Source organism: Homo sapiens, chromosome 13, assembly GCF_000001405.40.
Source record: "Homo sapiens chromosome 13, GRCh38.p14 Primary Assembly".
Taxonomy (NCBI): domain Eukaryota; kingdom Metazoa; phylum Chordata; class Mammalia; order Primates; family Hominidae; genus Homo; species Homo sapiens.
In genome coordinates this window covers 111,843,442-111,861,954 of record NC_000013.11, presented here as the reverse complement: position 1 = coordinate 111,861,954, position 18,513 = coordinate 111,843,442, and the positions used below count along the sequence as shown (strand labels likewise).

Genomic DNA, 18,513 nt, shown 5'->3' with positions numbered 1-18,513 from the left:
TCGCTCCCGCATCTTGCTGATGCCCTCTTCCTGCGTCTGCATGTCCTACCCCCGTATCCTTCTTTCCCTCCACTTCCATCGTTCTCCCCACAGAGCTTGAACACTGTAGGAAATCCTGATTGTGCTTTTTCTGGTAATCTCTATGTCTTCTCTCTCAGGTCATTTTTAACGCTGATGGAAGCACACGGTGGATCGCGCCTGGAGGCTGAGGCAGTGCAACCCTCCTCTACGTGTGCGGTGCGCACCTGTGTAAGACGGGCTGTCCTTCGGGGCTCAGGTCCACTGAGCAAGTGTAAGGATGGCCTCTCTTTTGAAAGCAGCCTCTCTAGGCAGCACACTAATTACTCCTGGGGAGCAATTTTCCCATGACCAATTCCATAACAGGTCAACCCCTCCCTCATCCTTCTTTTAACCAATACGGTAATTCAATATCCTGTTAGGAAGGCCAATCCCCTCCCCACTGCATGGTGCCATTGTGGTCACTGATTTACCTAGAGGGTGTCACTGCAGATATTTTCTGACAGCCACATTCCTAGTTTTTCTCCTCTAACTCCCACAAAGACTCGACTGCGGATGATTCTAAGGCAGTTGTCATATTCCTTCTCAGAGGGTTGTGAATGCTCACCTAGTTACGTATTCATTCTGGGGAATGCCTGATGTACCATTCCAAATATCCATGTCCCTTCTTTCTAAACATCCATTTACCTTCCAAATATCCATGTCCCTTCTTTCTAAACATCCATTTACCTTCCAAATATCCATGTCCCTTCTTTCTAAACATCCATTTACCTTCCAAATATCCTTTTCCGTTTTTTCCAAAATTAACTAAACCATGATTTTTCACTGAGCACATTGCTACACTATTTCCTGGTCTTCTCTGCAATTATATGTGACCATGTGACCAAGTTTTTTCCAATGAGGTGTAAGCAGAAGTTGTGTGTTCCATGAGACCTCAGAGTAGTCTCTTGAAAAGGGAAGGAGTACACCATTTTTCTTATCCCCTCCATCCTGCTGTTGGGAACATGACTTGATGGCTGGAGCATCAGCAGCCATTCTGGACCATGAGAGTAAGGACCACCCTGCCCCCCAAAGAATGATAAAGCAGAAATCAGGGAAGGTTTTGGATTCCTGTAGACCATATGTCTATCACACCAGCTCTAGTTCCGTTCTTTCATTTTTTTTTTTTTAGGTGCTAATCCTAATTATAACTGGTAAGTACTTTTCCCAATGAGTGTGTGATTAGTTCCCTTCCCAAAGGCTAATTGTTTGCCTCAGCCTGTTACTAAATTCATGCCAATTTCCATGTCTCTCCAGGACAAATCAGAGTTGTTCTAGCCCATGTCACCTTCTCACCAAATATGCATCATTATTTTTGATTCTTTGGTTATTGCCCTTTTTCCCACCGTGGTTCACATGACCTTTCCTCTGGGAGAAACCAGGGAGAGTCAAATACCAGGTAGGAGAGCTTCTCCCTTGTGACTTCGTCTCTCCCTGTCCTCTCTGCAGAGGGTCTCAGGGCCTTTTCCCTCCCCCTCCTGTTCCCAGACTGCAGCCCTGATAGAGGGCACTTTCTCTCAGCTCACATCAAAGGCCTGCATCATTAAACCTCTGTGGGGAGTGCTGGTTGGTGACAGTGAAAAGCTCCAGAATTGAACAGAGAGATTCATCGTACTAAATTTAGAAACAGGCTCTCTATATTTAGTTCAGATCTCAAATAGGAAAATGTGCAGCCTGAAGATGTACAGATTAAATAAGAAGAGGAGCAATTTGCTTTGTCCTTGAATTCAGGCTTCAGAAACATCAGATACTTCGTCTTCAGTAAGAGCCTGCCTAGGCCTGGAAGCGCCCTGGACACTGCAGTCAGCAAGTCCTCTCTCTTAGGTGAGCCTGAGGTTCTGCAGGGGGTGACGATAACAAAACAGCACAATAACAGCAATTAACATTGGCAGAAGTGAGGCTGCTTCAGGCACCAGGCAAGCTTTGTAGGCATGATGCCACTCAGACCTCACTTTGACACTGTGTCCTGGAGTTACATAAATCACTCCATCTTACAGACAGGGACAGTGGAGTGCTGAGAGGTTAATAACCTTAGCAAGGCCACATAGCCACAGGGCAGGGCCAGGGCGTGAACCGGAGCCTCCTCTCCAAGACCTGCTGCTAGGCTGCCTGCCTTTGGAGAAGTCTCTGATCTCCTAGGACGTGTATTTAGCGGATCCCCAGTATGCACGGGTTCTGTATTTGTGAATTCACCTGCCCACTAAAATGACTCGTGGCCATCTGCAGAGGTGGGCAGAGTGGAGGAGAACCTGAGCCATGCATGTGCCCCTCCCGCTGAGAGACAGCCAGGGCGCGCTGCCCCCCCATTTCAGCGCTTACTGTAAACAGGGCCGAGGCCTCCGTAGTGCCCAGCTTTCCACACTTGGTGCTCTTCGCCGGTGACTTTGCTGTTTGGAATGGCCCTGTGCCTGGTGCTGTCTTGTGTCCTGAGCAGGAGAGGCTGGGGGGCCTTAGGGGAGCTTCATTCAGCTGCTGGGTGCAGGTTCAGTGTTAATGAATCAACAGTACGTTGAATAAGGTGTCTTTAAGCAGACACATGCAAGTCAGGTTATATATTGATTGGCTCACCAGAGGCCCACAGGAACCTAACCCCGCATTTCCCCTGGAGAAATGTCTTGGGATCTGCTAATGCAGTGTCTGCGGGGTCCTTATAGACCATAACTATACTGCAAACAACGAATTGGCTGTGCCTGCAGGCTGCCTCCCAGGCAGCTGTAACCTCCAGTCCCGTACTTTCTTTCTTTCTTTCTTTCTTTCTTTTTTTTTTTTTTTTGAGACAGAGTCTTGCTCTCTCTCCCAGGCTGGAATGCAGTGGTGCGATCTCGGCTCACTGCAACCTCCGCCTCCTGGGTTTAAGCAATTCTCCTGCCTCAGCCTCCTGAGTAGCTGGGATTACAGGCACCTGCCACTGTGCCTGGCTAATTTTTGTATTTTTAGTAGAGGCAAGGTTTCACCATCTTGGCCAGGCTGGTCTTGAACTCCTGACCTCATGATCCACCTGCTTGGCCTCCCAAAGTGCTGGGATTACAGGCGTGAGCCCCCGCACCAGGCCCAGTCCCCTACTTTCGAGCTTCTCGCCAGCTCTGCCCCCAGCATGGAGCGGTCACGGGGGTGCAGCGGCTCTTTCTACAGGGAGCGTGAGGACGGGGACCTGCCCTTGCCCTCCAGCCACACTGGGAGCTGGCACGCAGGGGCCCCAGATCTTTCCCGCATGCCCCTCCCAGGGCAGGGAATACAGAGGCCTCCGACAGCCAAGCAGGGTGAAGAGTCTGGCAGCCACGGTTCCCAGGGTGGCCTTGTGATTCCGATAGATTTGGGGACTTCCTGAGATTGGAGGGGGTAAATCAGGAAATAAATTTTCAAGCCAATGGAGAGCAAAGCCTCCTCCCCAGAGCAAGACGGAGGAAGGAGGAATCCAGGTGAGCTCCATGCAGCGCTGCTCAAGAGCTTCTCAGGACGTGGCGTGTGACCCGCCCGTTTCCGAGGACGTAGGAGACAGGGGTGCCGGAAGCACCAAGGCGATGACGTGCAAAGTGTCCCAGTGAACAAGGCCCCGCAAAGGCTGCTTCTCCAAGCCCCGTGTCCACCCGTTCCGTGGCACTAGACACTGTCACAGCTGAATCACGTCTCCCACAATGAACACGCTGAAGCCCGAGGCCCCACACTTCAGAATGTGATGGTTTGGAGATAGGGCCTTAAAGAGGTAATTAATGAAAAATGAGGGCATGGAGGTGGGCCCTAATCCAGCCGGACTCGTTTCTTTTACAAGAGAAGAAGATTGGGACACAGACACGCACACAGGGACGGCGGGTGGAGGCCCCCGGAAGAAGACGGCGTCCACACACCGGGGAGAAAGGCCTCAGGAAAACTCGTCCTGCCCACACCCGGCCTCAGACTCCCAGCCTCCAGAATCAGGAGAAAATGCATTTCTGTGGTTAAGACCCCACTGTGTGTGCTACGGCAGCCTAGAGGCTTTCTCGGACTGATGACTCCCAGATCAACATCTCAAGCTACGCCTGCTGTGATGTCTTTCTAATGACCACTAGATAGGTCCTCCCTCCCCTAACGACCGCCAGAGACATCTCCCCATCCCCTAACACCCGCCAGAGACGTGCCCCCGTCCCCTAACAACTGCCAGATACATCCCCCCATCCCCCAACACCCGCCATAGACATCCCCCATCCCCTAACGACTACCAGAGATGTCCCCTGTTCCCTGTCCCCTAACGCCCACCAGAGACGTCCCCCCATCCCCTAAGGACCACCAGAGACATCCCCCCGCCTCCTAACGACCACCAGAGAGGTTCCCCGTTCCCCATCCCTAACCACCACTGGAAACTCCCCTAACGACGACGGCTGGAAATGCCCCCGGGATGCCCAGTGGCACCTTCACCACAGCACAGCCAGAGCAGAGTTCCAGATTCCAGAGGACTCCCGATTCCCTCAGGAAACGTGCTCCTCCACTCCGTGTCCTATGCATCACTAGAAACGCATGTAACATGTATGAACAGTCACACGCCCTGTCCTATGCATCACTAGAAATGCATGTACGTTACACGTATGAACAGTCCTACACCCTGTCCGATGAAGCACTAGAAATGCATGTATGTAACATGTATGAACAGTCCTATGCCCTGTCCTATGCATCACTAGAAATGCATGTATGTAACATCTATGAACAGTCACACTCCATCCTATGCATCACTAGAAATGCATGTAACATGTATGAACAGTCAAGTTGTATAACAAAGTGAAACTGAAGGCTCATCCTTGTGTTGTTCCCAACACTCAGAGCCACTTATCTTCCTGCCCTTCCTCCTGGTCTGGCGTGGATTTCCCGGGACTGGCAGGCGATGCCCTCAGTGGGCAGCTGGGGAAGGAAGAGGAGAGAGACTGCAGGAGGAGGTGACGGGGGGCTCAGCCAGGATGAATTGCCACTGGGGCCGGCCTGGCTGTGGCCCTGTGCATCCCCTGACTCCCCAGGCAGCACTGGGCGTGCACATTAGCCTCAGGTGTGGTCCCACTTTGTCTTGGCACCACAGACCCCCGGAAGGATAGGGGGTCTTCATCTGGCTCCAAACAGCAGGATGCCCTCGGCTCCTGCCGGGTGCACTCAGGGCCTCGGGCAGCTGAGAGCCTCCGCTTGGATCAGCCCCATGGCCTCCATACCTGGGCCTCCAGGGCAGCAGCCTCCACACCGGGGCCTCCACACTGGGGCCTCCACACCGGGACCTCCACACTGGGACCTCCACACCAGGGCCTCCAGGGCAGCAGCAGGGCGGTGTCCCCCACCTTTCCTGCAGCCACAGCTCATCGCTGACAGTTGACACAGCATAGTTCCACCTGCACAGCCTTTAGAGAACCCCAGAGAAGAAGCACCCCAGGAACCCCATTTCTAGACTTTCCACCAAAACTCATGGGAGTGCCCTGGGGGCCTCCTGCTTCAGAAAACACACTGAGCACCCTCCCCACCACCAAGGTGGAGACCAAGGGAGTCTGCAGCCTGTGACCGCATCGCCTGTGCTTTGTAATGCGTTCAATGTCTCGCCTACAAATAGAAATAACATACATAATGTACAGGTCGGGTAGCCATAAATATATACATAGAGTAAGTTATAGAAATCTAGAACTAACCATACCTCATATCCCCTATACATTGCATGGGAAGAGGGACTGGGGTTGTCATCACTGTCCCCCCCTCCATGGCTCTTGCTGCGAGGCTGTGATGCTCTGCAGCACCTGCTCTCTGGCAGGAGCACTGCCCAGCCCCATGTCCCATCCAATGCAGGAAGTGGCCAGCACCTTGCCCACCTCACCTTCCATCCCCCTTGGCCATGTCTCCCGTTCCTGCCTTGCAAGTGGATGGCATGGAGACGGTGGCAACGCTGCAGCCCTCTTGTAGCCATGAGGAGGCTCAGAAGATTTGCAGGGTCAGGGCCCCCAGGCTGTCTAGATGCCAGTGCCGCAGCCTCAGGACCTCTGGTGCTGTGAGAAAAACTCACTGGTGTGTGTGCACCCACGTTCAGCTTTGCTGTTCCTTGTGGCTGAGTCAGTGCTGACTGGCACGGCGGGCACTCAGGTTTCTCCTAGCACTTTTCACTATTAACAGGATGAGTGAAAACACTAATTACACGAAGCCTTCACTGTAGACGAATCAGCACATTTATGGATTTTTTTTTTTAAATATCCAAGGAGGATACACTAGGCCATATTTCCTGATCATGTTGGATCACATCATTTACCACCAGAACTCCCCTGTCCCAGTGCTTCTGGTGGTTTAGGAAATTGCTGCCTTACTTTAAAAACAAGCCTGGGCTGTGAACAAACACCAAGGCAGGAAGAGCTTCTTTGAAGTGTGTCTGCCCTGGTGAAAGGAGCAGGGACTTTAGATCCACACTCTGCCCTTCGCAGCTGTGTGATGCGGTGAAATTAGCTACATCTCCAGCCTCAGTTCTGTGACTAATATGGGGGTGGTAAGACCCCCTCACAAGATACGTGGTGGCCGGGCGCGGTGGCTCACACCTGTAATGCCAGCACTTTGGGAGGTGAGGCAGGAGGATCGCTTGATCCCAGGAGTTTGAGACCAGCCTGGGCAACATAGGGAGACCCTATCACTACAATAAAAACAAAAAAATTATCCAGACATGGTGTCACGTGTCCATGGTCCCAGCTACCTGGGAGGCTGAGGTGGGAGAGTCCCTGGAGCTCAGGAGGTCAAGGCTGCGGTGAGCTGTGATCGCGCCACTGCATTCCAGCCTGGGTAACAGAGCGAGACTCTGTCTCAAAAATGCCCCAAATAACAACAATGAATCAGGTGTGGGGGCTCAGGACCCTGCGTTTGCAGGGTGTGAGCCCCAGCCCCTCTCCATCTGGGTGCCCTCGTGCCCTCCGTCCGCTCTCCAAAGCTGCTCTCTTTCTGGATCTTCACTGTACTTCCCTGAGCCTCAGTTTCTCCCATGTAAAATACAGAGGTTTGCTCCTGGTTTGCTCAGCTGGCATTTTGGCCAGGGTTGGCCCCAGATCACAGGCCCTTCAGCATCCTGATTCCATCCACCGTGTCCAGGAGCCCTAGTCCACCGCCAGTCCCAAATGCCCTCCACCCCCAGTCCCAAATGCCCGCAGGAGGCAGAGTCACCCACACAGGAAACCTCTGGCCAGGATGGTCTCTGTGGCCCCTCTCCATCAAAGCTGCTCCGTCCCCACGCCCCACCGTGCTAGATGTCGAGTGTCTGACACGGGGTGCAGTGGAGCCATGAGCAGCTGCAGCCCACACAGCTCCACAAAGCCATGGAAGCATTTGGCACCCCCACCAGGCCGCTGTTTTTATTCCCGTGGTCGAATAAGGAGCCCGAGGCTTTGGGATGGTTTGCTGTTGAGCTGTGAGTTGTGCCGAGCTGGTGCTTTTCTTCGATGACATTGACCTATTTGTGTGGGGTCCTTGTGTCTACCTGACTCATCCCAGCCCTGGGGAGGCCGATGCCCCCTCTCTGATACTAACCCCCCATGCCTGCTGTCCACGGCTTCACCTGGGAGCAAGAGTGAGGCCATTTCAAGGACAAGATAATTACAGGAACCGAAGGAGCTTCTCACTGAACAGGAGACTGGAGAGACGGCCTTCATCCCAGAGCAAGTTGGAGTCTCTGGGCGCTCCCTGCAGCCTGAACCCACATGTAAATGGAAGGCCTTGTACCTTGCTGATTCCCAGAAATCCTCCCTCTCCACCGCCTTCCTGGGCTAAGTTCAACACGGCCGACATCTGAGCTCCATCTGCTCTCTGCTAATGGAAAATGGAGTGTGGGAAGTGAAAATGTTTTTGAAAACACGTTTTCCAGGTGGGGTTGCTATTGATTAACCTCTCGTGGCGTCTCAGCCTTTCTCCCTTAGACCCGAGTTGTGTGACTAATACCTGGATGTATTGTGTGCCCTCATTCGTGACGGCTCAAGTGCTGTTTGTGGGATGGGACCTGCACTCCCGCGCTCTGAGGCGGGGACACGGGAGGCTGTGCGTCCACCAGGCTATTTATCAAGATAATAGTTGCCTGCAAGGGTTCTAGACATCCACTTGTCCACACCCCAGGGAGGAGCGGGGCTCTTTATCATGTCTGGACTTAATAAAGAAGAAATAATGCAGCTGTACTGCTGGCTACAATGTCTCTTCTCCAGTAATCCTGGGTTTCAATTTTCTGCTTAGCATTGTGTACACAGCAAACAGCCTCACGAATTTAACCGTGCTCCAGTTTCCCCTGGTGACGACAGGAGAAAGGTTTACAAAAGACCCCTTTTGGATTTAATAGGACGCAGAACAGCACAGTGTCACATGGTCTTCACGGCCCTGAGGGCCCAACTCTCTTTTGTGAAAAATTGTAATTTCACTAATACAGGAAATATGTTTCCAGTGGTTTTCTTCCAGTGTTTAGACCGTCACGACCAGGAAGAGTCGCTTTGGAGGGTTGCAAAGGGCTGCCCAGCCCCAGAAACAGAAACAGTGGCACTCCTCCACACCGTGAGGAGACCGAGGCACAGCAGGCCCACACATCAGGCCCACAGCCCCAGCCCGCTCCAGGACGCGCCTGGAATTGCCTGTGAATTGCTGGGAGGGGGCAATTCACACCCACGCGTGCCCCGTCTTCTCTGCAGACGTGGATTACATCAGGTGCTCCACCACGCTGTCAGACTGAAGGCCAGCGGGTTGATGTCACCGCATCCACATTCTAAATCAGCAGCCCCCAACCTTTTTGGCACCAGGGACCAATTTTGTGGAAGACAATTTCTCCACAGATGGGGGGTGGGGTGGTGGGGGGATGGTGTTGGGATGTTCCACCTCAGAGGATGAGGCATTAGATTCTCATAAGGAGCCCACAACCTAGAGCCCTCCATGTGCTGTTCACAATAGGGTTTGCACTCCTGTGAGAATCTAATGCTGCTGCTCATCTGACAGGAGGCGGAGCTTAGGTGGTCATGAGAGTGATGGGAGCAGCTGTAAATACAGACGAAGCTTCACTCGCTCGCCCACCGCCCACCTCCTGACACGTGGCCCAGTTCCTAACAGCTCACGGGTGGGAACCCAGGGACTGGAGACCCCTGCTCTAAATCGTCCTGAACCTCACACTTCTGAATTCAAAGCACAGCTTTACCCTGCAAGTTGCTTTTTTCAGGTAACTTTGCATTTTAAACATCCAAGGTGTGGAGAAACTGGTTTTTAGGGTCCCATGAAGAGAACACTCTCGTATCTTTCAAATTCACTGGATTTGGAGCCCGTTTCCTATTGAGGTACTTTTTTTTTTTTTGTCACAGCAGGAATTTCTGTTCCTCCCTGTGTTGTGTTTCAGGGGGAGAGAAAACACGCAGCTGCCCCCCAGGGGTAAGCCTTCCTCAGTCCCCTAGTCCATGAGTTTAGCATCTCCCGGACTTGGCACTGTTACCCGGAAGCCAGCAGCCCTTCCCTTCAAGGGCAGTGTGGTCTGCACCAAGGCCTGAGCTGGAGCAGCAGCACATGCCCATCCTCGGTGGCTTCATGGGCAATACATTCGAGGTCACGTGAGCCCTGTGGGCCGTAGCATTTCCAAAGGAACCATGAGCCAGCCCTGTTTGGCAACGGAGAACACACTGGGCAGTAACCTCCCTGCAGAGGACACGCCCAACATCATGGCCTTTTTTCTTTTTTTTTTGAAACAGGGTCTTACTCCATCACCCAGGCTGGAGTGCAGTGGTGTGATCACAGCTCACTGCAGCCTCGACCTCCCAAGGTCAATCCTCCTGCCTCAGCCTCCATAGAGCTGGAATCACAGGTGCACACCACTGTGCCTGGCTAATTTTTTGTTTTTGTAGCGATAGGGTCTAATTTTTTTGCCCAGGCGGTTTTCAAACTCCTGGTCTTAATGACCCTCCTGCCTCAGCTTCCCAAAGTGCTGGGACTCAACACTGTGGTCTTGATCAAGAGCGGAGAGGGAGGTACAGGTGCAGGCAGCGAAGTCAGGGAGACCCCCTGGTGCCGGTGCCTGAAGGTGCTCCCTCTCCACCTGGGTCCAATGGAATTTAACGAACTTTAGCTTCCAAAAGTTTTCACATATGGGAATGTTTCTCCATGAAAAGATATCTTTGGTAAGTGCAGGCAAGTAGAATCAATATTGGTTTTTAGACCAGGAAACCAAATCCTCTCTTCAACATTGGCTGTGCTTCCAACATTGTTAAAGATGTTTAGCAATTAATTCAACCAATTTTTAACCATGTTTTTATCCTGTTATACTTTTATTTTTAAGGGGAGATGTACTAGCCGACCAGTGCTAGGGTAATTAGCAGTCTCTCTGTAAATGTTTGGGAAATTGAAAGTGGAATGGGATTGGTCTTATGGTAATCTGACCCCACAAATGCTGTTTCTGTGTCTGTTACACAGAGGGATGCTTTGCCTCCAGTTAGAGATCTTCTGCATACAAATAAATGATATTTTGGGGTGTAAAGTCTGATAATCTGAGACAGGTCTCAGTTAATTTAGGAAGTTTATTTTGCCAAGGTTGAGGATACACCTATGACACAGTCTCAGAAAGTCCTGACGACAGGTGCGCAAGGTGGTCGGGGCACAGCTTGATTTTATACATTTTAGGGAGACGTGAGACAGCAATCAATACATGTAAGAAGTACATTGGTTCCATCCGGAAAGGGGGGGACAACTCAAAGCAGGGAGGGGGCTTCCAGGTCACAGGAAGGTGAGAGACAAACAGTTACATTCTTTTGAGTTTCTGATTAGCCTTTCCAAAGCAGACAATCAGATATGCATCTATCTCAGTGAGCAGAGGGATGACTTTGAATAGAATGGAAGGCAGGTTTGCCCTGAACAGTTCCCAGCTGGACTTTTTCCTTTGGCTTAGTAATTTGGTGCCCCAAGATTTTCCTTTCACAGAGAGGAGGGTGTCTATTTTTTTCTTCAAGGTGCCTTGAAATTAAGGCAAGAAGAATGGGGTGAAGCTGACTTCCAATCACCTTGGGTTTTTCCTCGGAAGGAAAACACGTTTCGTGGTTGTGGCAGAGCAGAGGCAGCGCGAATCCTGCAGTGACTGGCTGCATCCCTTAAAGATTGTTTTTTTTAAAGATTTTGTAGAATGTATTTGTTTTCCTTCCAAGAACTATTGGAATGTTTTCATGCACCCTTGGAACAGCCCTTGGAGACAACCCTAGGGAGGGAACAGTGTTGCCGGAGGCCAGCCTCCCGGGCACCCACACTCCCCTCGCCTGCCTAGGGGCCTACCCAGGTTCACTGGACACGGGCACCACAGGGCAGGAGGGTGGGGAAGGGTACACTTTCTCCTCGTTCCTAGCACATGGTAATGCACCCCAAAGCAATACTCGCCCAGAAAGCAGTTACTAAGCACATAGAAAGCTGAGGTAATTTTGTGAAGAAGAACACTGAAACAATAAAAGCTCAGCATTTGGAAGCAAGTTACGACAGCACTCAGCATAGGGGTAACATATTCACTCAGGCTACAGTACAAAATGTGCTTTTCATAGGATACACAGTTTTATGTCCATACGTATTTTAACATTTCTCTTTTTCTTTTTTTCTTTTGAAACAGGGTCTCTCTTTGTCACCCACGCTGGAGTGCAGGGGCATGATTTTGGCTCACTGCAGCCTTGACCTCCCAGGCTCAAGCGATCCTCCTGTCTTAGCTCCTCATGTAGCTGGGACTATAGGCCCCTATGCCTGGCTAATTTTTTGTGGAGATGGGATTTTTCCATGTTGTCCAGGCTGGTCTTGAACTCCTGAGCTCAAGCAATCTGCCTGCCTTAGCCTCCCAAAGTACTAGCGTAACAGGCATGAGCCACCATGCCCAGCCTATTTTAACATTTTTCTTGGTAATAAAAGTAACCATATTTTTATCAGATGCTTTTTTAAAGCCAGTCGATGTCGGGAAGGCTGACTTGTTTCATGGATACAGTGATGGGCAAACACCAGGTCAGAGCCAGTAGGGCGAGGCCAGGCTTCCCACTCAGGGTCCCCTGGGCAAGTTGCTTCCTGTCTCAAGTTGCACTGCCCTAACTGGTCAGTACAAAGAGCAGTACTTTGGGAGTCTTTGTAGTTAAATAGAAATGGAAAAGCACTGTTGCCTCTTGAGATCAAGGCCATACGTTTAAAAATATAGTGTGAAGTCAGTGTGATGGATCACACCTATAGTCCCAGCTACTTAGGAGACTGAAGCAAGAGGATTGCTTGAGGTCAGGAATTCAAGACCAACCTGGGCAACATAGCAAAATCCCACCTCTCTCTCTCTCATCTCTCTCTCTATAATATCTGCTACTATTATACACAATAATATATACTAGTGTATATACATATACATACAAGTAGATGTACATATGTGTGTGTGTATATATATGTATATATGTGTATATGTGTATATATTATATATGTGTATATATTTATATATGTATATATGTGTATATATATGTGTGTATATATACATGTATATATGTGTATATATATACACGTATATATGTATATATGTGTATATATACACGTATATACATGTATATATGTGTATATATACATATATGTATACATATATACGTATATACGTATATATGTGTATATATGTGTATATATATACACACACACACAGAGAAAATGTGATATATATACACACACATAGAGAAAATGTGAGCCTTACATTATTTTGAATTTTCCAGTGGTGCCTAAACCTGTGTGTACATCTACTGTCCTCATGCTTGTTGATTCGCTAGTGTCCATCTTCCCCTTTTAAGACAACAGGACACAGTTCACGGCTGTATGTTCTGCACCTAGAAGGGTGCCTGGCATGCAGTAGAATCTTAAATAGGTATTGAATAAGTAAAATGTTGGTAGTGTGGTGTTAAGTGAAATAGTCAATATATATAGGAAACTCACTAGTATATATTATTGTGTATAATAGTAGCAGATAGTATATATTATCATTAAGAAGCTAATAGTTTATAAGTTTTGACAGCATCACAGCCCCTTCCACTTCCAGCTTGATAATCAGGAGCCTGCTATTAGCAGAAGATAGCTGGGGAAGAATGCCTTCTAGAACCCACCTCTTCCCTCCATCTCCCCAAGAAGAGGAGATGTATGAATAATCTACAAATGGTAGGGAGGTTTATGTTTTTAAGCAGCACTTAGGTATTTTAAGATTTCTCTTTATATTAAACTGTAGTAAGTAGCAAAGGGGAAGATAATTTAAAGCAGTCCATTGGTCTGAGAGCTAAGTTTCAGTATTTTTGGCAAAGTTATGGCAAAGTTATAGAGCTTACATGGAATAAGAATATATGTCATGGTGTTGGGATAACTGAATATCTACATGCAGAAGAATGAAATTGCATCCTTACCTCACACCATATATAAATATCAACTTGAATGGATGAAGCATTTCAACATAAGATCTGAAGCTGTGAAACTACTAAAAGAAAACCTAGAGGAAAAAGCTCCATGACATTAATCTGGGCAACGATTTTTTGGATATGACCCCAAAAGCACAGGAAGCAAATTCAACAAAGACAAACGAGATTTCATCAAAATATTAATAAAAAGCTTCTTCATGGCAAAGGAAACAATCAGCAGAGTGAAGAGACAGCCTACAGATGGGAAATGTACCTGCAAACCACACATCTGATAAGTGGCTAGTACCAAGATATGAAAGAACTTCAAACAACTCAACAGTAAGAAAATAAATAGCCCAATTAGAAAGTGATCAAAAGAGCTGAATAGACATTTCTCAAAAGACGACAGACAAATGTCCAACAGGTATATGAAAAATGCTCAAAATCACTTATCATCAGAGAAATGTACATTAAAACCACAATGCCACATCACCTCCCACCTGTTAGAATGCCATTGTCAAAGACGAAAGATAACAAGTTTTGGTGAGGATGCAGAGAAAAGGGGACTCTTGTACCCTGTCGGTGGGAATGTAAATTACTACAGCCATGATGGAGAACAGTATGGAGATTCCTCAAAAACTAAAAATACAACCACAATATGATTCAGCAGTCCCAAAGGCAGGCATATACCCACAGGAATTGGAGTCAGTAAGTCTAAGAGCTGTCTGCACCCCCACATTCCCTGCAGCACTTGAATAGTGCCAATATAGCCAATATAGAATCAACCTATGTGTCCTTCAAGGGATGAATGGATAAAGAAAATGTGGCACATACACAATGGAATATTATTCAGACTTAAAGAAGGAGATCCTCTCACTTGAGACAGCATGGATGAACCAGAAGGACATTATATTAAGTGAAATAAGCCAACTGCACAAATACCAATACTGCACAATCTCACTTGTTGAAGCTAAAAGAGCTAAAAGAGTTGAAGTCACAGAAGCAGAGGATAGAATGGTGGTTACCAGGGACTGGGGTGGAGGGATTGTGGGGTGGGGCGGTGGGTAGGGGGGTGAGGTGCTGGAGAGATGTTAGTCAAAGGGTACAAACTTTCAGCTAGACAGGAAGAACAAGTTCAAGAGATCTATTGTACAACGGTGGTGACTACATTGTTAGTAACAATGTATTATATTCTTGAAAATTACTAAGAGTAGATTTTAAGTGTTCTCCTACACAAAATGGTATGTGAGACCATGCATATAATTAGTCTATTTAAACATTTCACAATATATGTATATTTCAAAACAACATGTTGTATACAATATATGCAATTTTGTCAATTAAAAAATTAAAAAATAAAAAAGAAAGCATTCGATTAATCAAAAGTCACATAGCAAAAGTAAAACATGACCTCTTCTATTTTTTTCAAATATTGACTTGACACTAAAACACTGAAAACAAAAAAGAATGAGTTGCCGATGGTGTGGTGTGAACCCTTTCCTTCCAGGTGGGCAGAGCCATCAGTGTGATGCGACCGCCTCAGATCTGGGTTTGGGTTGGGTGAAGGGGAGGGGCTCTGCTTCCCACTCAGTGTCCCCTGGGCAAGCTGCTTCCTGTCTCAAGTTGCACCGCCCTAACTGGTCAGTAAAAGGAACAATATCTACCCCCTAGAGACAAGAGTCAAGTGCTTATTAAAATGCCAAACGCGTAACAATCAACATTAGATCCCTGCCTCCATAGGGCAGTTATAAAACAGAGAACTTGCCAGGAATACTCCAGGACAGCAGATCCAGGTTCTATAATCGGTGTTGTCATCATAAAATACAGGTATTATGTCCCATGCATTTGCGTATGAAGCCAGGCTTGAGGGCCGACTGCATAAATATGAGCCTGTTATTAGGGACTTGCGAATCATGCGAGCAACACTGGCGTGCAAAACATATCCAGGGAGGAAACAAAGAGGAAATGTGTATGAACCCAACCCAAGATTAAATGTGGGTCATTCCTTGCTGAAAGCATGGAAGCTTCTGGGTATATGGAGAAAGAAAACCCTTCTGGGCACCCTCGTAAAGTTACTCACAAAGGAAATCACAGGAATGTGCTTGAAGCTCATTTTATTCTTGGCATTCCCAAGATATCAGAAATATCATTAACGCTGTTTGAGAAATTAGAGAACTGTAAGGAAGCCAAAGAGCGGTGTGGATTTTGCTCTTATCAACCCCTCCCTCACTGAGCAGACGGCTCCCTCACTGTCCTTCCTGGGGCCGGCCCTTCCGGCCGAAGGCCCCCAGGGAAGCCAGCCCAGTTCGCCCCTGACAGTATCAGGCACTTAGGATTGAATTTTCAAATTGCCCTCCCGTTTGCATCTGCATTGATGTTTTGCATTTGTTTGAGGCTTGCATCTGCTTCCAAACAATGAGCTGTAATTTTAAACCTGTTTAGCACGCATTTAACCCAGATACTTCTTTTGTGACCATTTCACTTGCATCTGGGTTTCAGTGCAAAGAGGTTGTAAGGAACAAAACAAGAGCAGAATGGTAGCAGCCAGCAGCTGCGTGCAGGCAGCACACCCCGTGCACACCCACGCGGGGCACGCAGCCCGTGGCACACCCTGTGCACACCCACGCAGGGTACACGGCCCGTGGCACACTCCAGGAACACCCACACAGGGCACACACGCAGTCTGGTGTGAAAGTCACCACTGCACAAAGCATGTGCCCATTCTGCAGCATGGAGGCTGCGTCCTGCGCCTGTGATTTTCGTAATTCAAGGCTGTGGGTCCCACCGGGGCTTGCTGCAGCTGGAAGCCTGACCGCAGACAGCACTAGGAAGTGCAGGCAACCTCCGCCCCATCCATCGGAAATGGTCTGGACCCCGCGGCGAGAGCGGGCACCTCCTCTTAGTACTCACGAATCACTCCCTTGGCAGTGCAGGTAAATGCCCCGGGAGATGCCAACGCGCCCTGACTCTGAGGCCTGACAGCTTCAACAGAGGACTTTTAGGTCCAGAAGGGAGGTGGGCAGCTGTTGGCTGAAACAGATCTTCCTTTCTTACTGGGCAGCGATTCCAGGTCAGCTTATTTGTTCTGACCCTGGCATTTCCTAAAGGAAGGGACTCCTGCTTTTGGTTCCATGTCCTGTTTTAGCAAGGCCATACCATGTCCACCCAGAACCTGTGGAATCTTTGCGGAGCCCATGGGTTTTGACTCATCTGCATGGCAGTGGTGTTTGGTTCCTAAGTCAGTTGTCACACTAGAGCTGGAGAAGGAGACACGTGGAGATGGGATCCGTCCAGCTCCGCCCCACAGACACTGTGTGGGGCCACCCTTGTACCCTGGGACACAGCTGCAGGGTCTTAGGGACCTCCTAACAGTTCGCGGGGTCTGAGTCAGCGAACTTCTCAAAACCATATTTGAACACATATTTATATAAAGTCTGAGTAATTTTCTCTGAAGGCATCAAACCTGACACAATGTTTATAATCTCAAAAATGGCATTTGACACAAGAGGATGCTTCTGACACACAATGGCTGGCTAGATGAAGGGCCAGAGATGCGTTCCAGACCTGATGCTGCTGCCCGATGACAACTGAAAGCACGGAGACCCACCCAGGATGGCTCTGTACCCCGAATGGCGCTGTATCCAGGATAGTCCTGTACCCATGAAGGCTCTGTACCCAGGACGGCTCTGTATCCGGGATGGCTCTGTATCCAGGACGGCTCTGTACGCAGGATGGTGTTGTACCCGGGACGGCTCTGTACCCGGGACGGCTCTGTACCTGGGACGGCTCTGTGTCCAGGACAGTTCTGTACCCGTGAAGGCTCTGTACCCAGGACGGCTCTGTATCCGGGACGGCTCTGTACGCAGGACGGTGTTGTACCCGGGACGGCTCTGTATCCAGGACAGTTCTGTACCCATGAAGGCTCTGTACCCAGGACAGCTCTGTACCCAGGACGGCTCTGTATCCGGGACGGCTCTGTACGCGGGACGGCTCTGTACCCGGGATGCCTCTGTGTCTGGGACAGCTCTGTATGAGGGATGGCTCTGTACCCGGGACGGCTCTGTACCCGGAATGGTGCTGTACCCAGGACAGTTCTGTACCCAGGAAGGCTCTGTGCCCGGGATGACTCTGTATCCGCGATGGCGCTGTACCCGGGACACCTCTGTGTCCGGGATGGCTCTGTATCTGGGACGGCTCTGTAGCCAGGATGGTGTTGTACCCAGGACGGCTCTGTCGAGAGGCCTTTATGTGACGACAGAAACGCCGTACATCTACCCCGTGCACGACGGTGGCCGCCAACCACACAGGGCTGTTGAGCACCTGAAACGTGGCCAGTGAGGAAGAAGAATTGAGTTTTTAATTGTATTTGATTTTGAATAAGTTAAATTCAAATTTAAATTTAAAAAGCCACATGTGGCTAGTGGCTACCATGTTGGAAAGTGCTGATAAGGTTCTTTTCTGTATGTTTATTGCTACCTAATCCCACCTCCCCACCATACGCCTAAACAGTTATGTAAAAATAAACACTCACATTGTGGCCCTGACTCTCAGGAAAATAATTTTTATAACCTGAAATGTTAATTTTCTTTTTTTTCATTATCATTGATATAGCATGAAAAATATCCCTAGAAACTTGAGATGAGAGAAACAAAATTCATCACTATCAATTTATTGCTTCTGCTGATGTCCTCAGGGGATAGATTTTAATTTACATGTTGTCATTTCTTTTAAAATGCTTTTATGGGACAATTACACATGCCATTTTTTTTTTCAGAAACCACAGATCAATATAAAGGCAATTAGCAATATTTTTATCCCTTAAAAATAAAATGTCAGGTTTTTGAAAAATGATTTTTAAAACATAAACATTACAAAATAAATTTTATTTGGATTTTGGCATATGATGTTAAAATAACCTCTTGCTGTCGTGAAATATGTCATTAAAAAGTCAGTGTTTGTGCTCCCAGTGTTACCCACAGCTCTAGGCATGGAAAGAATTCAATGAATACTTGCTGTAATCCTACAGCATTATTGACGTGCCAATATTGGTACTCTGATCTATTGTAATTGTCTATGTGCCAAATTCTGCATCTGTAAAATAAAATTATATTTG

At 48.5% G+C, this 18,513-nt stretch overlaps 4 annotated features.

The window, feature by feature from the left end:
• Window positions 1,357–2,098: an enhancer, noted in NCBI's record as "NANOG-H3K4me1 hESC enhancer chr13:112514171-112514912 (GRCh37/hg19 assembly coordinates)". NCBI's record gives its function as "activates a minimal SCP1, AML or CMV promoter by ChIP-STARR-seq in naive H9 embryonic stem cells {active_cell/tissue: H9 hESC(naive)}" and the evidence as "EXISTENCE:reporter gene assay evidence [ECO:0000049][PMID:30033119]".
• Window positions 2,099–2,841: an enhancer, noted in NCBI's record as "H3K4me1 hESC enhancer chr13:112513428-112514170 (GRCh37/hg19 assembly coordinates)". NCBI's record gives its function as "activates a minimal SCP1, AML or CMV promoter by ChIP-STARR-seq in naive H9 embryonic stem cells {active_cell/tissue: H9 hESC(naive)}" and the evidence as "EXISTENCE:reporter gene assay evidence [ECO:0000049][PMID:30033119]".
• Window positions 8,095–9,084: an enhancer, noted in NCBI's record as "H3K4me1 hESC enhancer chr13:112507185-112508174 (GRCh37/hg19 assembly coordinates)". NCBI's record gives its function as "activates a minimal SCP1, AML or CMV promoter by ChIP-STARR-seq in primed H9 embryonic stem cells {active_cell/tissue: H9 hESC(primed)}" and the evidence as "EXISTENCE:reporter gene assay evidence [ECO:0000049][PMID:30033119]".
• Window positions 9,085–10,074: an enhancer, noted in NCBI's record as "H3K4me1 hESC enhancer chr13:112506195-112507184 (GRCh37/hg19 assembly coordinates)". NCBI's record gives its function as "activates a minimal SCP1, AML or CMV promoter by ChIP-STARR-seq in primed H9 embryonic stem cells {active_cell/tissue: H9 hESC(primed)}" and the evidence as "EXISTENCE:reporter gene assay evidence [ECO:0000049][PMID:30033119]".